The following is a 20,536-nucleotide window of genomic DNA, read 5'->3' as shown; positions in this document are numbered from 1 at the left end:
CACCAATGTGATGGGTGTACATGAATTCGTCCTGAAAAGCCAATAAAATGGAGGAAGAAAGTAGAGCCTAGGAGATGTTTTTTGTGTGGGTCCCCCCACCACAAATGAGTACTGGTGCAGAAGGGCTTGGAAATCAGAATGGCTATTCAGAGGAAGGCCAAGAAGGAATACATATGAGCAGACAACACAGAATTTATAGAGTAAAACCACAAACACCTTATTTTCCATTGTACTAAAATAATGATATTTTACAGTACTCTTTTTGTATGTAATTCTGCTTTCAATTTCATATTGTTACTGCAACTCAAATCTCATTATAAGTGTTCCAACAAAAATCCTTTTTTAATCAAAAACTTTCCAAACCTTAGCCCATTGTCAATGTATTTTGAGCAACTTATTTTTCCAGTGGAACAAAAGAATTTGGACCTTCTTTTTGAGCTCATTAGGATGTTATTTGACCTGTATGACCAAATATGTAATTAAGATAACAGAATCACTTTAATTTCTACATTAAATCTGTTCATAATCTGTGTCCATTGTTTTGGGGTGTAGAGGTATCGAGTCAGAGCTCTTTATTTTCTTTGAAAGAAAATGAATGGATCATTAGTGCTTTTGTTTGTTTATACTTCTGTTTGAAAAAGTCATTGTCTATAATATATTAAGCTGCAAGTGGAAGCGACAATATCCAATTAGCCAATCGTCTGTGAGAAAATACATGTCCTCTGCTAAGTGTTACTTACTGGTAAATGGTTTGCAGGAAGAAAAAGAATGTATTTCTGTCATGTCTGTGGGAAGCTGACTGGCCACTTTAAAAAGGAGATGACAGAATTTAGGAGGAGGGAAATCCAACAAAACTCTTACTGACCCCCGAGTTCACATTCTTTACTCTTTTTAAAATGAATTTTATGGAAAACAGAATTTATTAAGTACTTCCATTCCCTTCTTTTTCTTTGGAGGGGCACCATTTGGAAATAACCAGTTTACATTGTGATTATGCTTTCCTGACACTGGATCCACGTTTGTCACACTTCCCTCCATTCCCCTGGAAAAGGGCTAATATTTGCTGTAGTTGGGTTTCTTTACGTATATTTACACAGCAAACCAAAATGTCAAGAGTGAAGTTAAATAGCAGGGCTTCTGCAAGGATTTTTCACCCATTTTCATACGAACTTTTATCTTTCTTAAATTAAATACAGATATTTATTCCATGCAGACATATACTTTCCTCCTTTTGTCTTATTAAGAAAAAGGGAGGAATACAACTTGAGGTAATAAGTTGTGTAGTTAAGGATCATTTTAACTTTAGGAGTTTGGCATTATTGCAAGCATTTCTACCTTGAGGTCTGTGAAATTTATTTTATTGCATTTTTTAAAATTTTCAAACGTAGATGATTTCTTAAATCCTTATGACTATAACAGAACAACGTCTGGCTCCTACAATACTACTTGGCAGTTGCTAATTTGAAACGGGACAGATTCTGTGTTTGGTTATTAAGATCTGGTCAAATGTGAAGGAAAAGAGAAGATCCAACTCCTCATTTACTGAGTGTGACTCCTTTGCCCAGCCCCAGCAATGCCAGGGCCAGAAGGGTCAGCTCTCTCCACAGCGATGACTGTCTTTGACAGCTCTTCTAAGAGTAGTACCAGAAGGAGGGAAAGAAATGATCAGGAGGGGTCACAGAACTGCTGGGGATGTTCAGAGACCTAGGTGTCACTGAGGGAGTGGCATGAGGATTTGTCAACTTTTCAACCTCATTCTCATCCAAATTCAAAAAGTACATTTGGGTAAGGACACATATCAATTTTAAACATTTAATTTGGAAAAACTTAAACCACATTTGCATTTTGCCCTGTGTATGTATGTGTGTGTGTGAGAAAGACATGGAGCACTTAGATGTGGAAATTAGGTGTACGTGTGTATTAGGTGATCATTTTGATAAGCTTTTTATTGGATCTCCAGTGCGTCAGTTTTAAATTGCCTACATGGTCCTAGGTGCTGGAGACACAGATATAAACAAGAAATAAATACCAACATTACTACCCATAATATGATTATTGAAAATAAGCTTAAGAATTGTTTGGAGTTTGTTTTGTCCTTGAGTTTCCAGTAGGATTGATTCATAGAAGATTCAGTCTAGTGAACTGTAAAACAAGCCCTACAAAGACCTTGAGCATATAAACAGGGTAAGTGCATGGAAGTACCTAATGAATAGGAGAGCTTGTGTTGGTGCTTGGAGCACTATTCACTTACAAATCTTTTTTTTAAAATTTAAAAATTTATTTATTTATTTTTATTTATTTTTTTGAGATGGAGTCTTGCTGGAGTGCAGGCGATCTCAGCTCACTGCAACCTCCGCCTCCGGGGATTTTACATTTTAGTTTTTAGACAATTTTGAGTTAACTTTTGTATATGGTGAGAGATAGGGTCTAATTTATTTCTTCTATATGTAGATATCCAGTTTTCCCAGTACCATTTATTGAAGAGACTATCCTTTCCCCATTGTGTATACTTCGTATCTTTGTTGAAAATCAGTTGGCTACAAATGTGTGGATTTGTTTCTGGACTCTCTGTTTTGTTCCACTGGACTATGTATCTGTTTTTATGCCAATACTATGCTGGTTTTTTTTTTTTTTTCTTTTGAGACAGAGTTTTGCTCTATCATTCAGGCTGGAGTGCAGTGGCATGATCTTGGCTCATAGCAACCTCTGCCTCCTGGGTTCAAGCAATTCTCCTGCCTCAGCCTCCCGAGTAGCTGGGATTGCAGGCATCTGCCACCGTGCCCAGCTAATTATTTTTAGTAGGGACAGGGTTTTGCCATATTGGGCAGGCTGGTTTTGAACTCCTGACCTCAAGTGATCTGCCTGCCTCAGCCTCCCACAGTGCTGGGATTACAGGTGTGAGCTACTGCGGCCAGCCTGGTTTGTTTACTATAGCTTTATAGTATACTTTGAAGCTAAGTGGTGTGATGCCTCCAGCTTTGTTCTTTTTGCTTGATTGCTTTGGCTTTTCGGGATCTGTTGTGGTTCCATACACATTTTAGGATTATTTTTCAATTTCTGTGAAGAATGTCATTGATATTTTAATAGGGATTGCATTGAGACTGTAGTTAGCTTTGGGTAGTATGGAGATTTTAAAATAGTAATTCTTCCAATCCGTGAACATGGGATATCTTTTGGTTTATTTGTGTCGTCTTCAGTTTCTTTCAGCAATGTTTTATATTTTTCATTGTGGTAATCTTTTACCTCATTTGTTATTCCTGGGTATTTTATATATTTTTTTACAGCTATTGTAAATGGGATTGTTTTCTTGATTTCTTTTTTACATAGTTCTCCATTAGCCTATATAAATGATACTGATTTTTGTATATTGATTTTGTAACCCTGCATCCTTACTGAATTTGGTGATTAGTTCTGAGGGTTTTTTAGTGTAGTGTTTGGGCTTCTCTTCCCTGCCCTGCCCTTCCCTGCCCTTCCCTTCTTGCCTTGCCTTGCCTTGCCTTGCCTTTCTTTTCCTTTCCTTTCCTTTCCTTTCCTTTCCTTTCCTTTCCTTTCCTTCCCTTTCCTTTCCTTCTTTCTTTTCTTTCTTTCCTTCCTTCCTTCTTTTTTTTCTTACAAGATCTCACTCTGTCACCCAGGTTGGAGAGCAGTACTACCATCATAGCTCATTGCAGCTTTGAACTCCTGGGCTCAAGCAATCCTCCTGCCTCAGCCTCCCAAGTAGCTGGGACTACTACATACCACCACACCCAACTAATTTATTTTTATTTCTGTAGAAATGAGGTCTTGCTGTATTGCCTGGCTGATCTCAAATTTTTGGCCTCAAGTGATCCTTGTGCCTCAACCTCTCACAGTGTTGGGTTTATAGGTGTTTAGGGTTTCCATATGTAAGATCATGTCATCAAACTAGTTGGAGTCCATTCCTTCTATGCCTAATTTGTTGAGAGTTTTTATCATGAAGGGATGTTAAACTTCTTCAAATGCTTTTTGTGCATCTATTTAAATGATCACATGGTTTATGTTCTTCATTCTGTTAACATGATGTATCACCTCTATTGATTTGCATATAGTGAACAAGCTCCCCATCATGGGAAATTCTAGTAGGACAAATGACTCTGTTTTAAAATTTTTGTTGCCATTTTAAAAAATGAAACTTGGCAAATTTTTCTAAAGTTTGAAGATGGAATTTTTAAAAATAAGGAATCCTTATCTTTAAAGATTATACTAAAATATTTATAGATGAAATGATGTAATATCTGGGATTTTATTTAAAATAATCAGGGGGATGGGGAGGGAGAGTGCAGTCAGATGAAACAGGAGTAGCCCTAAGTGGATACTTGTTGAAGTTGAGAATTGGGTACATGGAGTTCATTACATTATTTTCTCAACTTTTGTCGATGTTTGATATTTATATAATAAAACATTAAAAATGAAATAAAAGTAAATTAGTTGCCTGCATGGGCTCTTTGAATTTTATTCCCATTGACATGGATAAGCCACAGGAAGTCTCCCACCTACCTTGGGACTTCATGTCCTCATTTATACAGATGTTGTTGCTGCTAAATTATTCCAAACATGATGGCAACCATAAAGATGATTTCAGACCTTTTATCGACTCAGCTAAAGTATACTTTCAGAAGGAAAGAGTCATTTTAACTTTTTGCAGTTTTTCTAAGTCTTTGTTTTTATGAGAGGGTAATTTGGATGTAAAAGACCTAGAAGCAAGCCCAGGGAAATCTGATAGGGAAGTGGAATCAGTTGGGCTTTTTATGTTGAAACTTTCGGAAATCTTTTTTCAATCTAGCCAGTCGCTGTAAGACTTTGCAGCTGGCAGATGTCAGGGACCTGCTGATGACTCACTCCATTTAGTCAGGGTCAGTTCATGATAACTTCCCTGGAAGTGCCTTGGGCTGCTAGGCACAGATGATGGCCACACGATTTTTGCTTGACATCATCTCTTTTACCCACATTGGTATCAGTCACTGGGGAACCTAATTTCTATTTTACTCTCAGTTCAGATTTCTAAATAAAGTTTAGAAAACTTTATTTTGCCTGCTTGGAGTCTTCCGTGAATCTTACAGTCTAGGTGTTTCTGATGAGTAAAACATAAGCCTGATTCAAGGAATCCTAAATATTTATCCTACATATTTTAGAAAGAGAGAAGATTTATGAAAGATAATATACAGGGAATAAGACCTTGTTAATTTTATTTTCTTTTATTCTTTCTCCAGGCTGAAGCAGATTCAATATGGACTTGTTAAAACGTATGTTTTGTAAATTGAGTTTATCTAAATCCCAGTCTAGAAGAAGGAAGCTCATTTTCTCTAGAAAGTGAATTTCAAAGTAAAACCACATGTTGGATGAAATACAATAGAGTAAGATCATTATCAAGATATCTTAATGTACTGTAGATTAGCAAAAAAAGATAAGGATGCTCACTAATTTATGTAAGATTTCAGAGAATAAGACAGTGATTTGAAAACATTTCTTTTGTTCAGTTATAGAATTTATATAGCTGAGTTCCTGATGAGCTCATTTCCCACTTTTTTCTTTGTTTTTGGCCATATTTCTCATCTCCATTTCTCCACATATTTTTATGTCCTGGCAGACACCTGTTGGTGCTCGTCATCTCTAGATGATGTCTCCTGAATCATTTTGTCTGCTGTGCCTTAGCACAGTACTCAACATTGAGTTTCCAGAATTGTTCTCTAAATTGACTCTCAGTTTCTTGAGAATGGAGCCTTCTTGTCTTATATTTCTTCCTCCTTCTGTGGTGTATGGTTTTGCTCAATTCCCTCCTTTCAGCTACTGTAAGTGTGGGTTTAGATCAAAGAATCTTTACAAGGTTTGGGAATTTTTCAGAACCCAGGAAGATGTTGCATTGATTGACCACTATGAAAAAGTGAATAGAGCTTTGCATTTGTCTTCATCTTCATGGTGCTTCGTGCCAGTCCTTTAGAGATAAATTGTTACGTACACCCTTATCCTGGGTGTTATACTTCTGTAAGCTGAAATTTGTAATTCAAGTCAGGAATATTTCTTATGTTCTTATTTTTACTGGCAAACTGATGCCTTATACAGATGACTGACATAATTAAAGTATTTTTCCCTTAGGTGCTTGTAATTGGAAAAATCAGTAGAATGAAGTCACTAATGGCATTAATGCAATTTAACACATTTTGCCAACAGGAAGTCTTATATATCATTAAGAATAAAATAATAGCAGCATATCACATTTATTAAACACTTACAGGTGCCAAATCCATCTGTAATGTCAAATAATCCTTAAATCAATCCTAGGAGTTTGGTACTTCCTGATTCTGATAGGCTTTCTTATTTTATAAAACTTTCATATGTGCAAAGTGGCCATAGTTAGAATGGACTTTAACAATTATCTGTAATACAAATTGGCTGAGAAAGCCCTGGGTAAGTTAGGCGACATACCCTTGTCCTTAGGGCGTCCTTATGTATAGACCCAGAACCAAAAATAACACTAGAGAGTAAATTCAATAATAAAGGCAGAAACAAAGAACTACAAAAACCCTGGTGATTAATGTGCCTGTTGGGGAGGAAGTCAAGACCGGCATTACAGAGGAGACACAGTACAATGGGGAGCCACAGGAGGTATTTAAGCAAAGGGGTGGATGGTCTGATTTGCATTCTTAAAAGACCAACCACTCTGACTGCTGTGTGAGGAATGGCCTCTGTGGAGCCAGAGTAGAGGCTGCGAGGCCATTGCAGACATCCTGGTGAGGAGTGACAGTGGTCTGTAGCCAGTGATGGTTGTAGAAATGGAGACAAGAGAATGATTTTGTTATATGTTTCGGAAGGATAGTGTCTACACAGTCCCTTTAGGCTGTTATAAAAAAATTACCATAAACTGGTAATTTCTGGCTTAGAAGCAAGAATTTTTTTTTTTCCTCACAGTTTTGGAGGCTGGGAAGTCCAAGATCAAGGTCCTAGCAGGCTCCATGTCTGGGGAGTGCCAGTTTTCTGGTTCACAGATGGCACCTTCTTGCTGTGTCCTCACATGAAAGAAAGGCTAGCTAGCTCTGTAGGGTCTCTTTTGCAAGAGTATGAATCCCAGTCATGAGGGCTCCACTCTCATGACCTAATTACCTCTAAAAGGCCCCACTTCCTAATACCATCACCTTGGAGGTTAATATTTCAACATATGAATTTTGGGGGTGGGTGGCATAAGCATTCAGACTATAGCAGATGTCAGGATGTGGGAAGAAATTGGATATGGAGGAGGTTGGGAAGAGAGGAATCGAGGACAAATTACTGGGTTGTGGAATAACTGAATGGGCAACAGCTGTTTCAAGGATTAAATGAGATAAGAGATGTGTATTGAATGGTAGATAAGTTCATCAACTATGCTTTGTGTTTTCTTGGGGTGGTTGAACTTGCGGTATGAAGACTTAAAGCCCATAAAGTAGCAGAGAAATTAAGAGAGGTGTGAAGAGAAGGGACTTAGCAGAAGCGACGAGACAGCAGAATCCAGGAGCAAGCAACAGTCATGAAGTGGAGAGACAGGAGGGTGTTGCTAAAGCAGCAGAAGCAGTGGCAAAAGGAGATTGCATTATAAGACTTACGGGCATTCGGGCATTTTTCCTGAGCTACCCGTTGCTCTGGTAAATTAGAAAGGGAGTCATCATTCTCCCCAAGACCTGGCCATCCTATTGCCTACAGTTTTCTGGGTACCTGTGATCCCTCATAAGCCCTCTTTACCTGGTGAAATCTGAATATGTCTCTACTCACCACAACCTGAATGGGCCAAAATAAGACAACCAGACTTCTTTCTTTATAGTGGAGAACACTTCTTTGGAATTGCGGATGGCTTTGATTTATTTTTAAATCATAAAGTAATGCAAAACTACATTTGCATTGTCAAAAAAAATTTTTTTAAGGTAAAACAAAAAATTTTAAACCGAGAATAAATCCCTCTTGCATCTTTCCAAACACACTGAAGTTGCACCCCTTCTCCAGGGGCCACCACCATTATCATTGGGGAGTGTATTCTTCAGATTATTTAAATGCTGTATGTAAGTGTGGGGATTTATATGTATATTGTTGGGATCTTCCCAACATAATGAAATCATATGGGATACGAAATACAATAATTTGCCTTTTGCACTTGTTGTGCCTGAGAGGTCCTTCTACATCTGTGCATACTGACCTGCCTCCCTGTCAATGGCTACTCATTACTCCACATACCGTGCTTTAGTTCATCATTCCCCTATAGATAAACAGGTTGTTTCCAATGTTTCTGCCATTACAAACTTATTTTTAAGAACCAGACTATGTTACTATGTGACCTTTCATCCATTTTGGCAAAGCCAAAATAGTCTTGGTGAAGTCCTTTGTCAGTTGCCAGTTGTGCAGTAGTGTGTCTCTGCCCTGGAGTGGGGCTGAGCTGTAGGTGGGATCCATAGAGTTGGTGTGGATTGAAGTCAAGCACATGTGGCAGCAATTTGCTTTGTTTTCTGTTGCTGCAGGGAGGAATTGAAACTCCTGGGCACGGTAAGCCTCAAACATTGTAGTTTCCTTGAGAAAAAACTTGAAGAAAACGCCCATGTTTATATTAACACCTAGTTTAAAATATATATACACATATAAGCTTTGCTAAAATAACCTTCTAAAGGCATAGGTTTAATGAGACTTTCTGAATTAAATTTAAGAGTTTTAATTAAACATGCAAAAGATAAACAGTATCTTCAAAGTTCAGCCTTAAGATGTAAAAACTCTTGCTTAAGAAGAAAAAATATTTAACTGCACAGAATGCCTGGACTTTTAATCTTTGAGAGTTGGAGCATTTGTATTTTTGAAAATTAATATAAAAAACTTAAATAACTTAAGTCATAAGGATACTCATAATAGATATGCTTTCTGTATATAGGTTCAAGTAAGCCATGTATACTTTTGAAATAATACATCTTTGTTTTAGAGAAAGACATTGTACTTGCTGAAAATCCAGGAGTGTTCTAATTGTTTTTATTGTATTACAATTATACATTTTGCTAATACTTTCAAAAGTAAAGACAATACGAGTTAATGCAAATAGTTAACCTTTCTACACCTATTTCAGAAAGATCGATGAACCGAGAAAGAGTGACTTGTATGTGCTACAGACATACAAACATACATACAGACATACAGATATACATTTACTAAGTTTTGTCTTAGTAAATTTTTATATCAATCTTGCAAAATAGATAGAACTATCCCCATTCTACAGGTGAGAAAACAGAGGCCTAGAGGTAAAGTAAATATTCCAAAGCCACAGGTCTAAACAGTAATCATGCAGGATTTCAAATTAGGGCTGTCCTGACTTCACTGCTCTTCCAGCTGCATGATTCTGGGGTCATTTTTGTTTTCCTTTTCAGACTTATCAGTACTTTTACCTCCAGGAACTGAAGCAATCTTCCTTCCTTATAGTATATAACATATTCTGATTATTAAATTTACTGGCCAGCCAACATTAACTCTAAAATGGACCTGAAGTTCAGTTATCAGATGGCCTGGCAAACAAAATGGTGGACCTCTCTATAGAATGTAGTTTGCTGATCCCTGCTCTTAATCAAAGCTCCCAGGTGTGGAAGGTCTGAATGAAATAGTTACTAAGATTTTTGCACATGGTAACTCTTTTCAGATATTTGAACCCTCTGCATCACAGGATACTATATCAGATCATTCTAACAAGAATCATTCTGTGGACATTCCCTCCATCAGCACTACATGTGTCAGGAGCTGCTTTATAGAGTTTTGACCTTTTCTTACTTCCCCTGTTTATTTAGACACTTAAAAAAATTACAGCTGAGGTGAAAACCTCCCACCTCCTCAATAGTTTCATTTTGGCTTCTAATCTCAACACTACAATCTCTCTCTTCCCTCTCTCCATTCCTTTCTTCTTTTCTTTGGATATCTTTTCAAAAGGAAGCTAATCACTCTCTCTTGCCATTCTACTTAGCTCATAGTCCTCTTCCCTTAAAATTGCCTCCACTGAATCTCCATAAAATCCATGGGTTTTTATATCAATGTGATAGGGTCCAAGTGGGTTTCATAAATCAGAGAAACTGGCTGAGCGGGAACTGTCATAACTGGAGAGCCGGCGCCCAATCGAAAGCTGATGCTTCCCCTTAGGAACCAGAGGCCCAGTGTTGCCAGATCTTCTGACTCTAAGAGAAGCAGGAAATCCAGACTTTTGGGTAGAATCTCTCTCTCTCTCTTTTTTTTCAATGCTGGCAACTAATTTAAGAAATTATTTTGCAATAGTGTGCAGGCCAAACAAAAGACATCTGTTAGTCATCACTTGAAACATCTTAGTAAACCAAAGAAAACTTTTGAGCATTCTCATTTTGAAGGCAATTACTCAACTCCCTCCATACTTCTCTACCTTTTTGCTAAGATGGTCTTTTCTTTGGTACTTTTATTTCCCACAATTGTTATCTCCAGATCCCTGGGAGGCAGTGGGGTATTCTATTTAAGAGCAAGGCTTGGATATCAAGACAAACCTGGGTTGAATTATAGCTCTGTCATATCATTTCATTACCTTGGATGGGTCATTGCAGCGCTGTGAACTACCAGTGAAAGGTGACTACTAATGATTCATCTTAATTGCTTTATGGTACAACAAATATTTATTGAGTTCCAACTATGTCTATCAAACACTGGGTTAGACATTGGGGATGCCACAGTGAATAAACCAGAGATGGCTCCAGTGTTCCTGGAGTTTTCCATCTCTGGAAGAGAAAGATATTAATCAAGTAATTTCAGTAAAACAATTATAATGAGAAAAGGAAGCTAAGCACTATGCAAGAGTAAAAGGTGGTTCTAGGCTGGGCTTACTGGGAAAAGATGCTTAATCTGTGATCTGAAAGATGAGTTGGAGTAAACCAGGGAAGAAGGGGATGGCACAGCATTTCCAGCCAGAGGTTCAGTTAATACTTTTTTCCTGGTGGATAGAAATCACACAGATATGACTTAGCCAGATTAAATAATAATCTGAACCCAAGTCAATTTCACATGATCCCATTTTAACAAATATTCTCATAGAGAAATGCAAAAGTGCTGTTGCTTCTCTGCAACACTTTAACAAGATTTCCTTTGTCAAGTGTGGTAGTAATTATGTCAGATAGTGTGGTCTGTGTTAAGCTGTGGTAACAACCTCAAAATCTCAATGGTTTAAAGCAGAGGTCAACAAACTATGGCCTGCAGGACATATCCTGTTGCTGCTTGCTTTTGTAAATAAAGTTTTATTGGAACATATCCATGCCCATTCATAACATATTGTCTATAGATTCTTTTGCATTACAATGGCAGAGTTAATTCGTTGCAAAAGAGACTGGATATCCTGCAAGGTCAAAAATATTTACTACCTGGCCCTTTACCAAAAACAATTTGCCAAGCCTTGCTTAAGAATATTACTGTGGCCGGGCACAGTGGCTCGAGCCTGTAATCCCAGCACTTTGGGAGGCCGAGGCGGGTGGGTCACAAGGTCAGGAGATCAAGACCATCCTGGTTAACACGGTGAAACCCCGTCTCTACTAAAAATACAAAAAATTAGCCGGGCGTGGTGGCGGGTGCCTGTAGTCCCAGCTACTCGGGAGGCTGAGGCAGGAGAATGGCGTGAACCCGGGAGGCGGAACTTGCAGTGAGCCGAGATCACGCCACTGCACTCCAGCCTGGGCGACAGAGCAAGACTCTGTCTCAAAAAAAAAAAAAAAAAAGAAAAGGAATATTAGTGTGAACTTCCTTAGAAAACTGGGAATTATACTACGTAGGCATAAGGCTGTGTAAAGGAACAAATTAGTACATGGAAAAGACCTAGCTTGGTGCCTGGCACATAATATGTTCTTGCTATTTATTTTTCTTCTTAATATTATCTTCTTTCTTGCTGTTTCCTTCTAGGAAATTCCTGCTGTAATAGCTGAGCTTTGTGCATGTTATATCAATATTATTACTGTCACTACTAACAATCATACCTCACATTTAGTGCTCACCTATGGTGTTTTAGGCACTGTGCTAGGAGATTTGCGTGTCATCTCCTTGAACCCTCACAATGATCCTCTGAGGTAGAAGTATCCCATTTTATAGACCCTGCTCATATTAGTAACAAACTACCATTAACTGAGCATTTACTCTATGTCTAGCATGTGCTCAGCATGGTCCCTATAAATAAGGCCATCCTGTTTTACAGATGAGGAAGCTGAGTAACTTGCTCTAGGCCCCATTGTCTGAAGTGGCAGACCAGGATTGTAACTCCAGCCAGTCTAATGCCAAAGCCCTGAACATATTCTCTATTCTGGCCATTGGGTCATAGAGGTAGAATAATTAAAAGGGCTGCTTCAGCTATCCCTGTGGCCAGGCTGGCCCATTCCCTCTCCCTGGGGTGGCTTCTTCCTTGCATTTCCTCTGCTCAGAATAGTCAATTCACTGTCTAAAATCTGCTCACCTCTAAACCCCTGTGTCTTAGAAAAGCTGGTTCTCATTGCCATGGTGCCTTTTCCTTCCTCCAGCCTGTTGTTGAGCATTTGGAGAGCTCATTGGATGCTGAAGTGACAATACAGTGTAGACAAGGATGAACTCCTTTTACAGAGCAGGTGCTCATCGAATGTGATTTTTCTTGTGTATTTAGTGAGCTGTAGCTATGATTTCTCTTCCTACTCCTTCCTTTTGAACAGCTTACTGAGCACTCTATATGTGTCAAACTTCATGCCCACACTCTACCTGCCTTACATCATGCTATTTTCACAACACCCCCTTGAGGGAGTCCTCTTATCCTGATTTACAGGTGCAAGGTCACTTGACTAGGAAGGGGTGAAATGGATACAATGCATACGAGTGTTCTTTGGGGCCAAGCGCTCTACTCATGCTCCTCATGATTGTTGAGGATATCTTCTAAGGATGGAAATGTCTCTTGAACCTGTTGTCTTTGTCTTAGCAGCTAGTTACATAGAATGGAGGCCAAATGGTTTCCTGTGGAGGATTATGTAAAATTCATATTGACATGGGGAAATCCAGGTAATAGCATATTACCAGATAAGTGAGAAAGCACAATGAAGGAACAATTGCAATTCATAATTTTCAAACATGACTAGAATTATTTATTCAGTCTAGTGACCATTAAGCATCCACTCTCCACTGTAAGCACTGAGCCAAGCACAGCGAGAGCATTTGCAAATGACTGAGACAGTCTTACCCTCCTAGGCAGTATGTAGCTCAGGAAGGGGCAGCACCATCTCTTCAGAGCAGAGGCTTTGTGTCAGAGGAATCCAGGTTCAAATCCAGGATTTATCTTTTGACTACTGTGGTCTTGGACAATTTGCCTAACCTTCCAAAACCTTCTCAACTGTAAAACAGGTATGATTAAGAATATTTTCCTTAAAGGGTGAGAATAAGCATTCAGTAATAGGATGCAGGTGAAAAATTTAGCATAATGCCTGCCAAATACAGAGCACTCAATAAAGTCTTCACTATTAATATACATTTTTTATAATAGAAATAAACATGGTCCCCCAGGAAGAGCCAGACAAGGAACATGAAAGAGGTGTCAGAGAGGAGGGGCAAGAATCAATTCCTTCAGGCTGGAGCATGTAGGAAGGCCCCATTACAGTGGCAAACCAGGATTTGAAGGATAATAGAATCCTGATGGAAAAAAATGGCTAGAAGAAGGCATGGCATTCCAGGTTGAGGGCACAGCATGAGCAAAGATAGAGAGAGTGAAGTGTGTGCTCAGGGAATCCCTCATGATGTTGTGTGTCTGGAAAGGGGAGGACAGGTGGGAAGATGTGAAGAGCCTGACTTTATGAATATTGAATAAAATATTTCTGGAACATGTGACTGCAAGTATGTGGTAGTGTCCCAATGCACATACACCTGTTCCTTCTGTAGATGCCTGCCATTTCCTCCTGCAGGAAGATGTAAAGGCTTGCTATTCTGTTCTCAAGAAAATGCCTTGACTCTGCATTACCTGGGGGACAAGTTTGACCCTTCCAGGTTCAATGCCAGAGGTACATCTGCCCTTATAACTTACAATTTCATGGCAGCCAACAAACCCTTGGTCATAAATATTTCTAAAGCCAAGCTTCTGGGCTATACTTGTTTAGGCTAGGGTAAAGTAGAGTAAAATATGGATTTCTTATTGTCTTAAAAAAGATTTTCTTTTTATTCAGATATGGTGAGGTCAACAGATCAGGAGACAACTGCCACTGGCAAGATAGTTCATTACCACTTCCAAGAGGAAGGGGCACACCCTGCCACATGGGACCATACAGGAAAGCACTAGGGTCGGTCAGGAGGCAGAGAGAGGGAGGAGAAACATGGCAAGAGCCTTTATAGCAGTTTCCCAGGGAAAGAAGAGATGGGGCAGGGTTTAGAATTAGCTCGTTTGAATAATCTCAATGGGCTCTGCATGGGGCCTAAGGGCTGTCCTTAGTTGTTGGGTACCTGGCCCTGGAGGGATTACAGCAGGGGGAGGGTGGCCTTCAGTGTGTGCTCCTAATGCAGGAGGTGGTAGGGTGAGGGTTCTGGATGGTTGGCTTGCATATGAAAGGCATGCTAAAAGGTGAGTCCCTTGTAATCTCTAGGAATTGGCTAGCTCTGGGAGGGGCAGTCTCTCCCAGTCCTTAGTTGTTTGGAGGGTCAGCAAGGCTCCAAATGTCAGAGCATTAGAAACACTGAAAAAAAGGCATGATTCATACACTCAGGTCCTTGATAATGCAAGAAAATTGTTTCTCTGGGAATTAAAAGAACCTGTGATATATATGTTTGTGATATAATAATAAATTTATATTTGGTTTTCATCCTGGTCCTTGGTACAGAGTTCTTAAAACCTTTGGCATTTCTGAGCCCTAGGGTAAGGGTAGCTTCCTTTGTTACCTGTGATAAGCCCTTTTCAACTACACCTGAGTTTATGTTAATGACGTGACTCTTGAAGAATGGGGGCTGGTTCCTAGAGGAACCAACCCTATGGTTAGCCCTCCCCAAGTCTCACCTTCGAGGAGGGGATAGGGGCTGGAGAATGGCCAGTGATTGAATCAGGCATGCCTATGTAATGGAACTGCTATCAAAACCCTAAACATTGGGGTTCAGAGAGCTTCTGGGTTTGTAACTGCCCAATGGGTTTATCTTGCCTACTGCCCATATAGAGCCAATTCATCAAGACAGGGGAATTGCAATAGAGAGAGTTTAATGCATGTGGAGCTGGCCAAAGGGGAGACTGGAAGTCAATTCCTTCTTGGGGCCCACAAGACCAGATGAGCCAATTTACTGGTCTTAGTGGCACCAGCTGATCCATCAGAATTCAGGGTCTGAAAAATACCTTAAACACCAATCTTAGGTTTGACATAGTGTTGTTATCCATACAAGGAATTGGGGAGGTTAGGAATCTTGAGGTCTCTGGCTGCATGATTCCTGAGCCATGATTTCTAATCTTGTGGCTAATTTGTTGGCTTTACAAAGACAATCTGGTCCCCAAGCAAGGAAGGCTTTGTTTCAGGGAGGGGCTACCATTTTTGTTTCAAAATTAAACTATCAACTCAATTCTTCTCAAAGTTAGTTTACTCTACACCCGGGAATGAAAAAGGCAGCTTGGAGGTTAAAGGCAAGATGGAGTTGGTTAGGTCCGATCTCTTTCACTGTTACAATTTTCTCACTGTTCTAATCTTTGCAAGGGCAGTTTCAGGCTGGTGAACATGCTGAAGTGGTGGGAGGGTGTCTTGTGTTGCCCTATGCATCTCTTCCATTTGTTTGTTCCTGGGTTGTATCCTTTATAATGGGAAAGAAAAATAAAATCCTAATCCCCCTACTCACTGAATGGAACCCCCTCTTGGCTAAAGGAACCCCAGAGAAACCTTAAAAACTGAGTTCCTGGCCATGACATGATGGGAGGTCAGACATGCCTGTTATACCCACTCCCTAGATAACTGCCTTTAGACTTTCTTTCGTAAGGGTTGAATGGAAACCAGCCCTTTGGAAAAATTTGCTCCACCACTGATTTACACAATAACTGACTAGCATTCCTTTTTTCTTAGAAGACCACTGACCATGGACTTCCTCTGGCTGGTTTATAGAGGCTACTCATACAGGATGCCTGTGTCCTCCGTTTCACCTTTTAACATATAGAGCTTAATTTTAATACATTTAAATGTTAAGTCTCCACTCCAAAGTGAACATGGGATGTATGTAACGTGCATGTTTGCTTACTGTGCATGCAAGCCTCCTTCATGAATATTCATAGCTCTTTTTGCAACCTGTTAAATATGTATACTTAGCCAACCCATTTGGCATGAACTCCTGTTTTGCCCTGTCCTCCCTTGAAGTGCTTGCTTTTAGTTTCTGCCAGAGGATACACCTCTTAGCCAGCAGGATGGCCAGGCTGCAGGCTGCAACTCTCTACAAGAAATAAAGCTCTCCTCTCTAAATATATGAACCTTATGATTCTTCAGTTGACAGTAATAAGCCTATATTCACAAGTGATATGTTTCCCTGAGCTATGTGAGCGATTCTAGCAAATTTCCAAAACTTAGGAGGGGATTACGGGAACCCCTGATTTATAATTAAGTCAGATGGAAGTGTAGGTAACCTGGGGACCCACTACATGCAATTGGCATCTGAAGTGGGAGGGTGGGGGGCAGTCTTGTGTGACTGAGTCCTTAACCTGTGAGGTCTGTGCTAATTCTGAGTAGATAGTGTCGGAATTGAGTTTAATTTTAGGATACCCAGTTTGTATCTGCAAAGAATTGGAGACTTGCTTCATGTGAAAACCCCATACATTTGGTGTCAGAAGTATTGTGAGTATAGAAAGAGTTTTCTTCTTTTAATGTAACATTCTACATTCCTAGAGAACACACACACACATATACCCACTGCAAAGTGTGTGGAATTTCCATATGTGGGCATTAAATCATAGAGGGCTGCTATATGAAGGTATTTTCCTACATTCTTGCTCAACAGCAAGCGTGAGGTATCTTTATGGTCAGCAGGGACTGATGCTCCTTAGTGTTTTCTGCTCTGAAACTCCATTAAAAAACTTGATTCATCTTTTCAGTACTATTCACATGACTAATTTCATAGAAGCTTTAGAGAGTAATATGTTCCAGCTCTTTCTTTCATTTGTTGTCATCTTTTCCTTAATGTATCCCATCTTTCTATATTCAGTAAATTAATAAAGAAAAATTGTGTTCATACATGGCTCTGATATAGAATCTGATATCTCTTATAAATTAGCACTGCTATGCTCGGCCCTGTCAGATAGTTAATTTTCAGAATGGATATTAACACCCCACCTATTAGATTGAGAAAGATATATGTATAATTTCTCAGTAACTTGGCCAGGGTTTTACACTGTGAGAGGGAGATAAGCTTTTTCTGATTTTTTTTATATTGCCTGTTGGGGATCACTTATTGAAAGACCAAATGGCTTTGATGGATCTTTTCTGCCTAGGTAGCTAATATGTCTGATGATGGGCCTTTATCGGCTACTGCTTGAACTTATGTAAGTCATATTTGCAGGCATCAGAGGAGTGTGGTGTTGACCTCCCGGTGGAAATGGGAAATTTAGACTGGCTCCTCCTCTCTTCGGCACTAAATCTTCAACATATATTATCTTTATCTTTATTTTTAGTAAAATACTTTGTAACCATCCCTCCTGGTTTTCTCCTAATATATGTATGAACTTAGTGAAGTGCATGAACTCTGCTTTACAGTTTACCCCTGAACTTACGAATTTTAAAATAGTGATTTTTCAAATTCCAGGATCACCTTTTAATAATGACAACCAGCCAGAACTAAATTGTTTTAATGTGATACTCTCCTTAAAGACTGAAGAGGAATTGATGGTCTCTCTAATGAAAATTTTGTACCTTTCATAAGTGTGTGCCTATGTGTGTGTGCCAATGTGTGTGTGTGTGTGTGTGTGTGTGTGTGTGTGTCTGTCTGTCTTTTCTCACTCAAGGTTTGTTATTCTCTGTTGATGTGCTATGGCCCAGGATTACTTAATTAAATATGACTTAAAAGTTTGCATTATGCTTTAAACTTGTGACAAAAATTGCTTGACATGACTTCTTGGTTATATGCTGCCTTTGGAATGGCAAGAAAGCAGAGTCAAGAAAATGCAGTCACTCTGTTAAATCTTTATTTATTTTCTAAGGAGTGAGAGAGCATTTTTATCCAAGTGATGAGAACCTCCTGGAGTTGATTGACTTAAATTAGCTTGATTGCTTTTTATCAGTCGCAGCTGCACTGTTTAGCATAAAAATGCAAAACATCTAAAAAGCATTTGCCTTGCAGCATACTAGAAAGATGTTTTTAGTTAGTTTTAAGATGTTTCAAATTTTTATTCTGCACAGATTCTCTGAGAATGTATCCAGAACATATCTAGTTACAGAGAATTAGTACAGATATTGTAAACTTTGAGAAAATGAATTAAAGAAAATATGCTATTTTATGAATTGCATATTTAGAATTTGGGCTTTTTTGCTTTTAAATGTCTCTTGTAAGTTAAACAGTTCAGCAATATTTGTTGCAGTGGCCGAGCCAAGCAACTGCTGCTAAACATTAAAAAACAGTCATTGGAACTTTTCACATAATGAGCCATTTGGCTTTTCTTGTGGAGCTGTGACATGGTTCAGTGGAAACTGGCTGTTGTAAAGTTAGGTAAAACCAGCTTTGTATTGAAATCCTATGAATGAATTTCAGACCATCATCTTCGTTTTCTCCCTGGCTTAGATGGTTTAATAATGAGTATGGCTGACTTACTGAGCTTTGTCTTGTGTGGGTGCTGCTGTAAGTGGTCTGCTCCGTAAAGTGCCACAGTTCTCTTTCTGAACCAGCTGCTGTTTTTCTGATTTACCCTTATTTGGCAGATTTTGCCCTTTGATACTTTTGACATTATCAACACCAAAGGCAGGAGGAGGTGCACTCTTGGAGCTGGTGAGAGAGAGGGGGGGATAGAACTGAGAGAGAGAGAGGGAGAGGTTGAGGGAGAGAGAGGGAGAGATTGAGGGAGAGAGAGATTGAGGGAGAGAGATTGAGAGAGAGAGAGAGAAAGAGGGAGAGAGAGAAAGAGGGAGAGAGAAAGAGGGAGCGAGAGATTGAGTGCATTATTGAGCTGATTGCTTGTCTTGTTTTTGTCTAAACTACGAATTGGTCTTGGCTGTTAGAAAGTGAATCTCTTAAAGACACTGGGACTGAAGCACAGGATTTGAGTTCATAGAACACAGCCTCAGGGACACACCAGGACACATTCCTTCACACATAACTTTCTGGGGTCTATAATGGGAATGTAGAGGTCATGTGCCCTCAATTGGAGAGAGACTTAGAGTCCTTGAGCCACTGTCCCTCGGTGGCCCTACCCCCACCCCCTTGAAAACATCTGGGAGACAGTGATCAGGCCAACAATCAAAAGAACTAGGAGTATTCCATATGAACAGGTAGAGACCCTAATAAGAGCAGATGTGTATTCTGGACTCCAGAGGTGACCTTGGCAGACATGAGATGCAGTCAAAGTCTTTTTCTTCTAGCTCTCATTCTAGATTAGTCTTTGATTATCCATTTAGATATGTAGAATCAAATAAGCCAGTATTGATGTATCATATCATGCTGGGGAAATTTTTGAAAAATATTTACCTGTCTCAATCCTGCCTACAGGCCATTTTCCAAAAATAATTTATAATTCCCCTTGTAATGTATTGTTAATATGCTCTAATGATATCAATGCTTAAATCCATCATAATTTTAACATTATGACAGAATTTAAAAAATTCTTTCCATGTTCCTTTGGGACTTTGTTATGTTGTATGTACATTATATTAAATATAGTTGCATTTATAATATAGCCAAAATTCAGGGTTTTGAGTTTTTAAATTTAACTTTTTGTCATTAAACTTGTGCCCATGTAGTTATAAGCCTCTTAATTTTATTCTTAATCACACTGTGTGTCATGATTTCCCTTGCCACACTTCTACTTTTGTTCATTGCAGCTATTTCTAAAATTTTTCACTTGTATAGTTAGTATTGCAGTGGGAATATCTTTGAACATTTGGATTACTGGGTCAAAGGGTATAACCACTTTTATGGCATATTCTGTGCACTTTGAAATTGCTTTTTAAAAGGTGCTCGTGTACCTATTATAATACCTCAGCAAAAGACTGATACCAAATTTCCTATAGCCTTGCTAGTACTGGGTCTTTTAAAGTGAAAATGTTCAGCATAACACTATCCTGCCTTTTTACAACTTTAATTATATTGCAGGGTTGAATATATTTCCATGCTTTGTTTACTGTGTATATTTTCGCCGTGATTTGCCTATATGGTGGATTCTTGTCTAGTGTAATCTCATATTAGAAATATTAACTCTTCCTTAGTTAATGCAGACATTTACCCCCATTTTGTTGTTTGTCTTCTAAATTTTGGTTTTGTGAGTTGTCATGAGGTTTTTGGCTGTACATACAGTTGAATTTGTCAGTCATTTCTGTCATCACTTTTTTAGTTCTTCCAAGGATCAGATAAGTCCTGTCTTCTAATTTCAGCTTGTTCT

General features: G+C 39.0%; 1 protein-coding gene across 21 annotated transcripts in view, besides 4 other annotated features; it reads left to right on the top strand.

The window, feature by feature from the left end:
* Window positions 1–20,536, top strand: part of ERC2 (ELKS/RAB6-interacting/CAST family member 2) — a 960,157-nt gene that overhangs the window by 338,105 nt on the left and 601,516 nt on the right. The window lies entirely within an intron of this gene.
* Window positions 6,355–6,897: an enhancer, noted in NCBI's record as "OCT4-NANOG hESC enhancer chr3:56157494-56158036 (GRCh37/hg19 assembly coordinates)". NCBI's record gives its function as "activates a minimal SCP1, AML or CMV promoter by ChIP-STARR-seq in naive H9 embryonic stem cells {active_cell/tissue: H9 hESC(naive)}" and the evidence as "EXISTENCE:reporter gene assay evidence [ECO:0000049][PMID:30033119]".
* Window positions 14,180–14,680: an enhancer, noted in NCBI's record as "OCT4-NANOG hESC enhancer chr3:56149711-56150211 (GRCh37/hg19 assembly coordinates)". NCBI's record gives its function as "activates a minimal SCP1, AML or CMV promoter by ChIP-STARR-seq in naive and primed H9 embryonic stem cells {active_cell/tissue: H9 hESC(naive and primed)}" and the evidence as "EXISTENCE:reporter gene assay evidence [ECO:0000049][PMID:30033119]".
* Window positions 17,974–18,784: an enhancer, noted in NCBI's record as "NANOG-H3K27ac-H3K4me1 hESC enhancer chr3:56145607-56146417 (GRCh37/hg19 assembly coordinates)". NCBI's record gives its function as "activates a minimal SCP1, AML or CMV promoter by ChIP-STARR-seq in naive H9 embryonic stem cells {active_cell/tissue: H9 hESC(naive)}" and the evidence as "EXISTENCE:reporter gene assay evidence [ECO:0000049][PMID:30033119]".
* Window positions 18,785–19,596: an enhancer, noted in NCBI's record as "H3K27ac-H3K4me1 hESC enhancer chr3:56144795-56145606 (GRCh37/hg19 assembly coordinates)". NCBI's record gives its function as "activates a minimal SCP1, AML or CMV promoter by ChIP-STARR-seq in naive H9 embryonic stem cells {active_cell/tissue: H9 hESC(naive)}" and the evidence as "EXISTENCE:reporter gene assay evidence [ECO:0000049][PMID:30033119]".

This window comes from Homo sapiens, chromosome 3, assembly GCF_000001405.40.
Source record: "Homo sapiens chromosome 3, GRCh38.p14 Primary Assembly".
NCBI lineage: Eukaryota > Metazoa > Chordata > Mammalia > Primates > Hominidae > Homo > Homo sapiens.
Note: the sequence above shows the minus strand (reverse complement) of the source record. Positions and strands in the feature narration are given on the sequence as shown.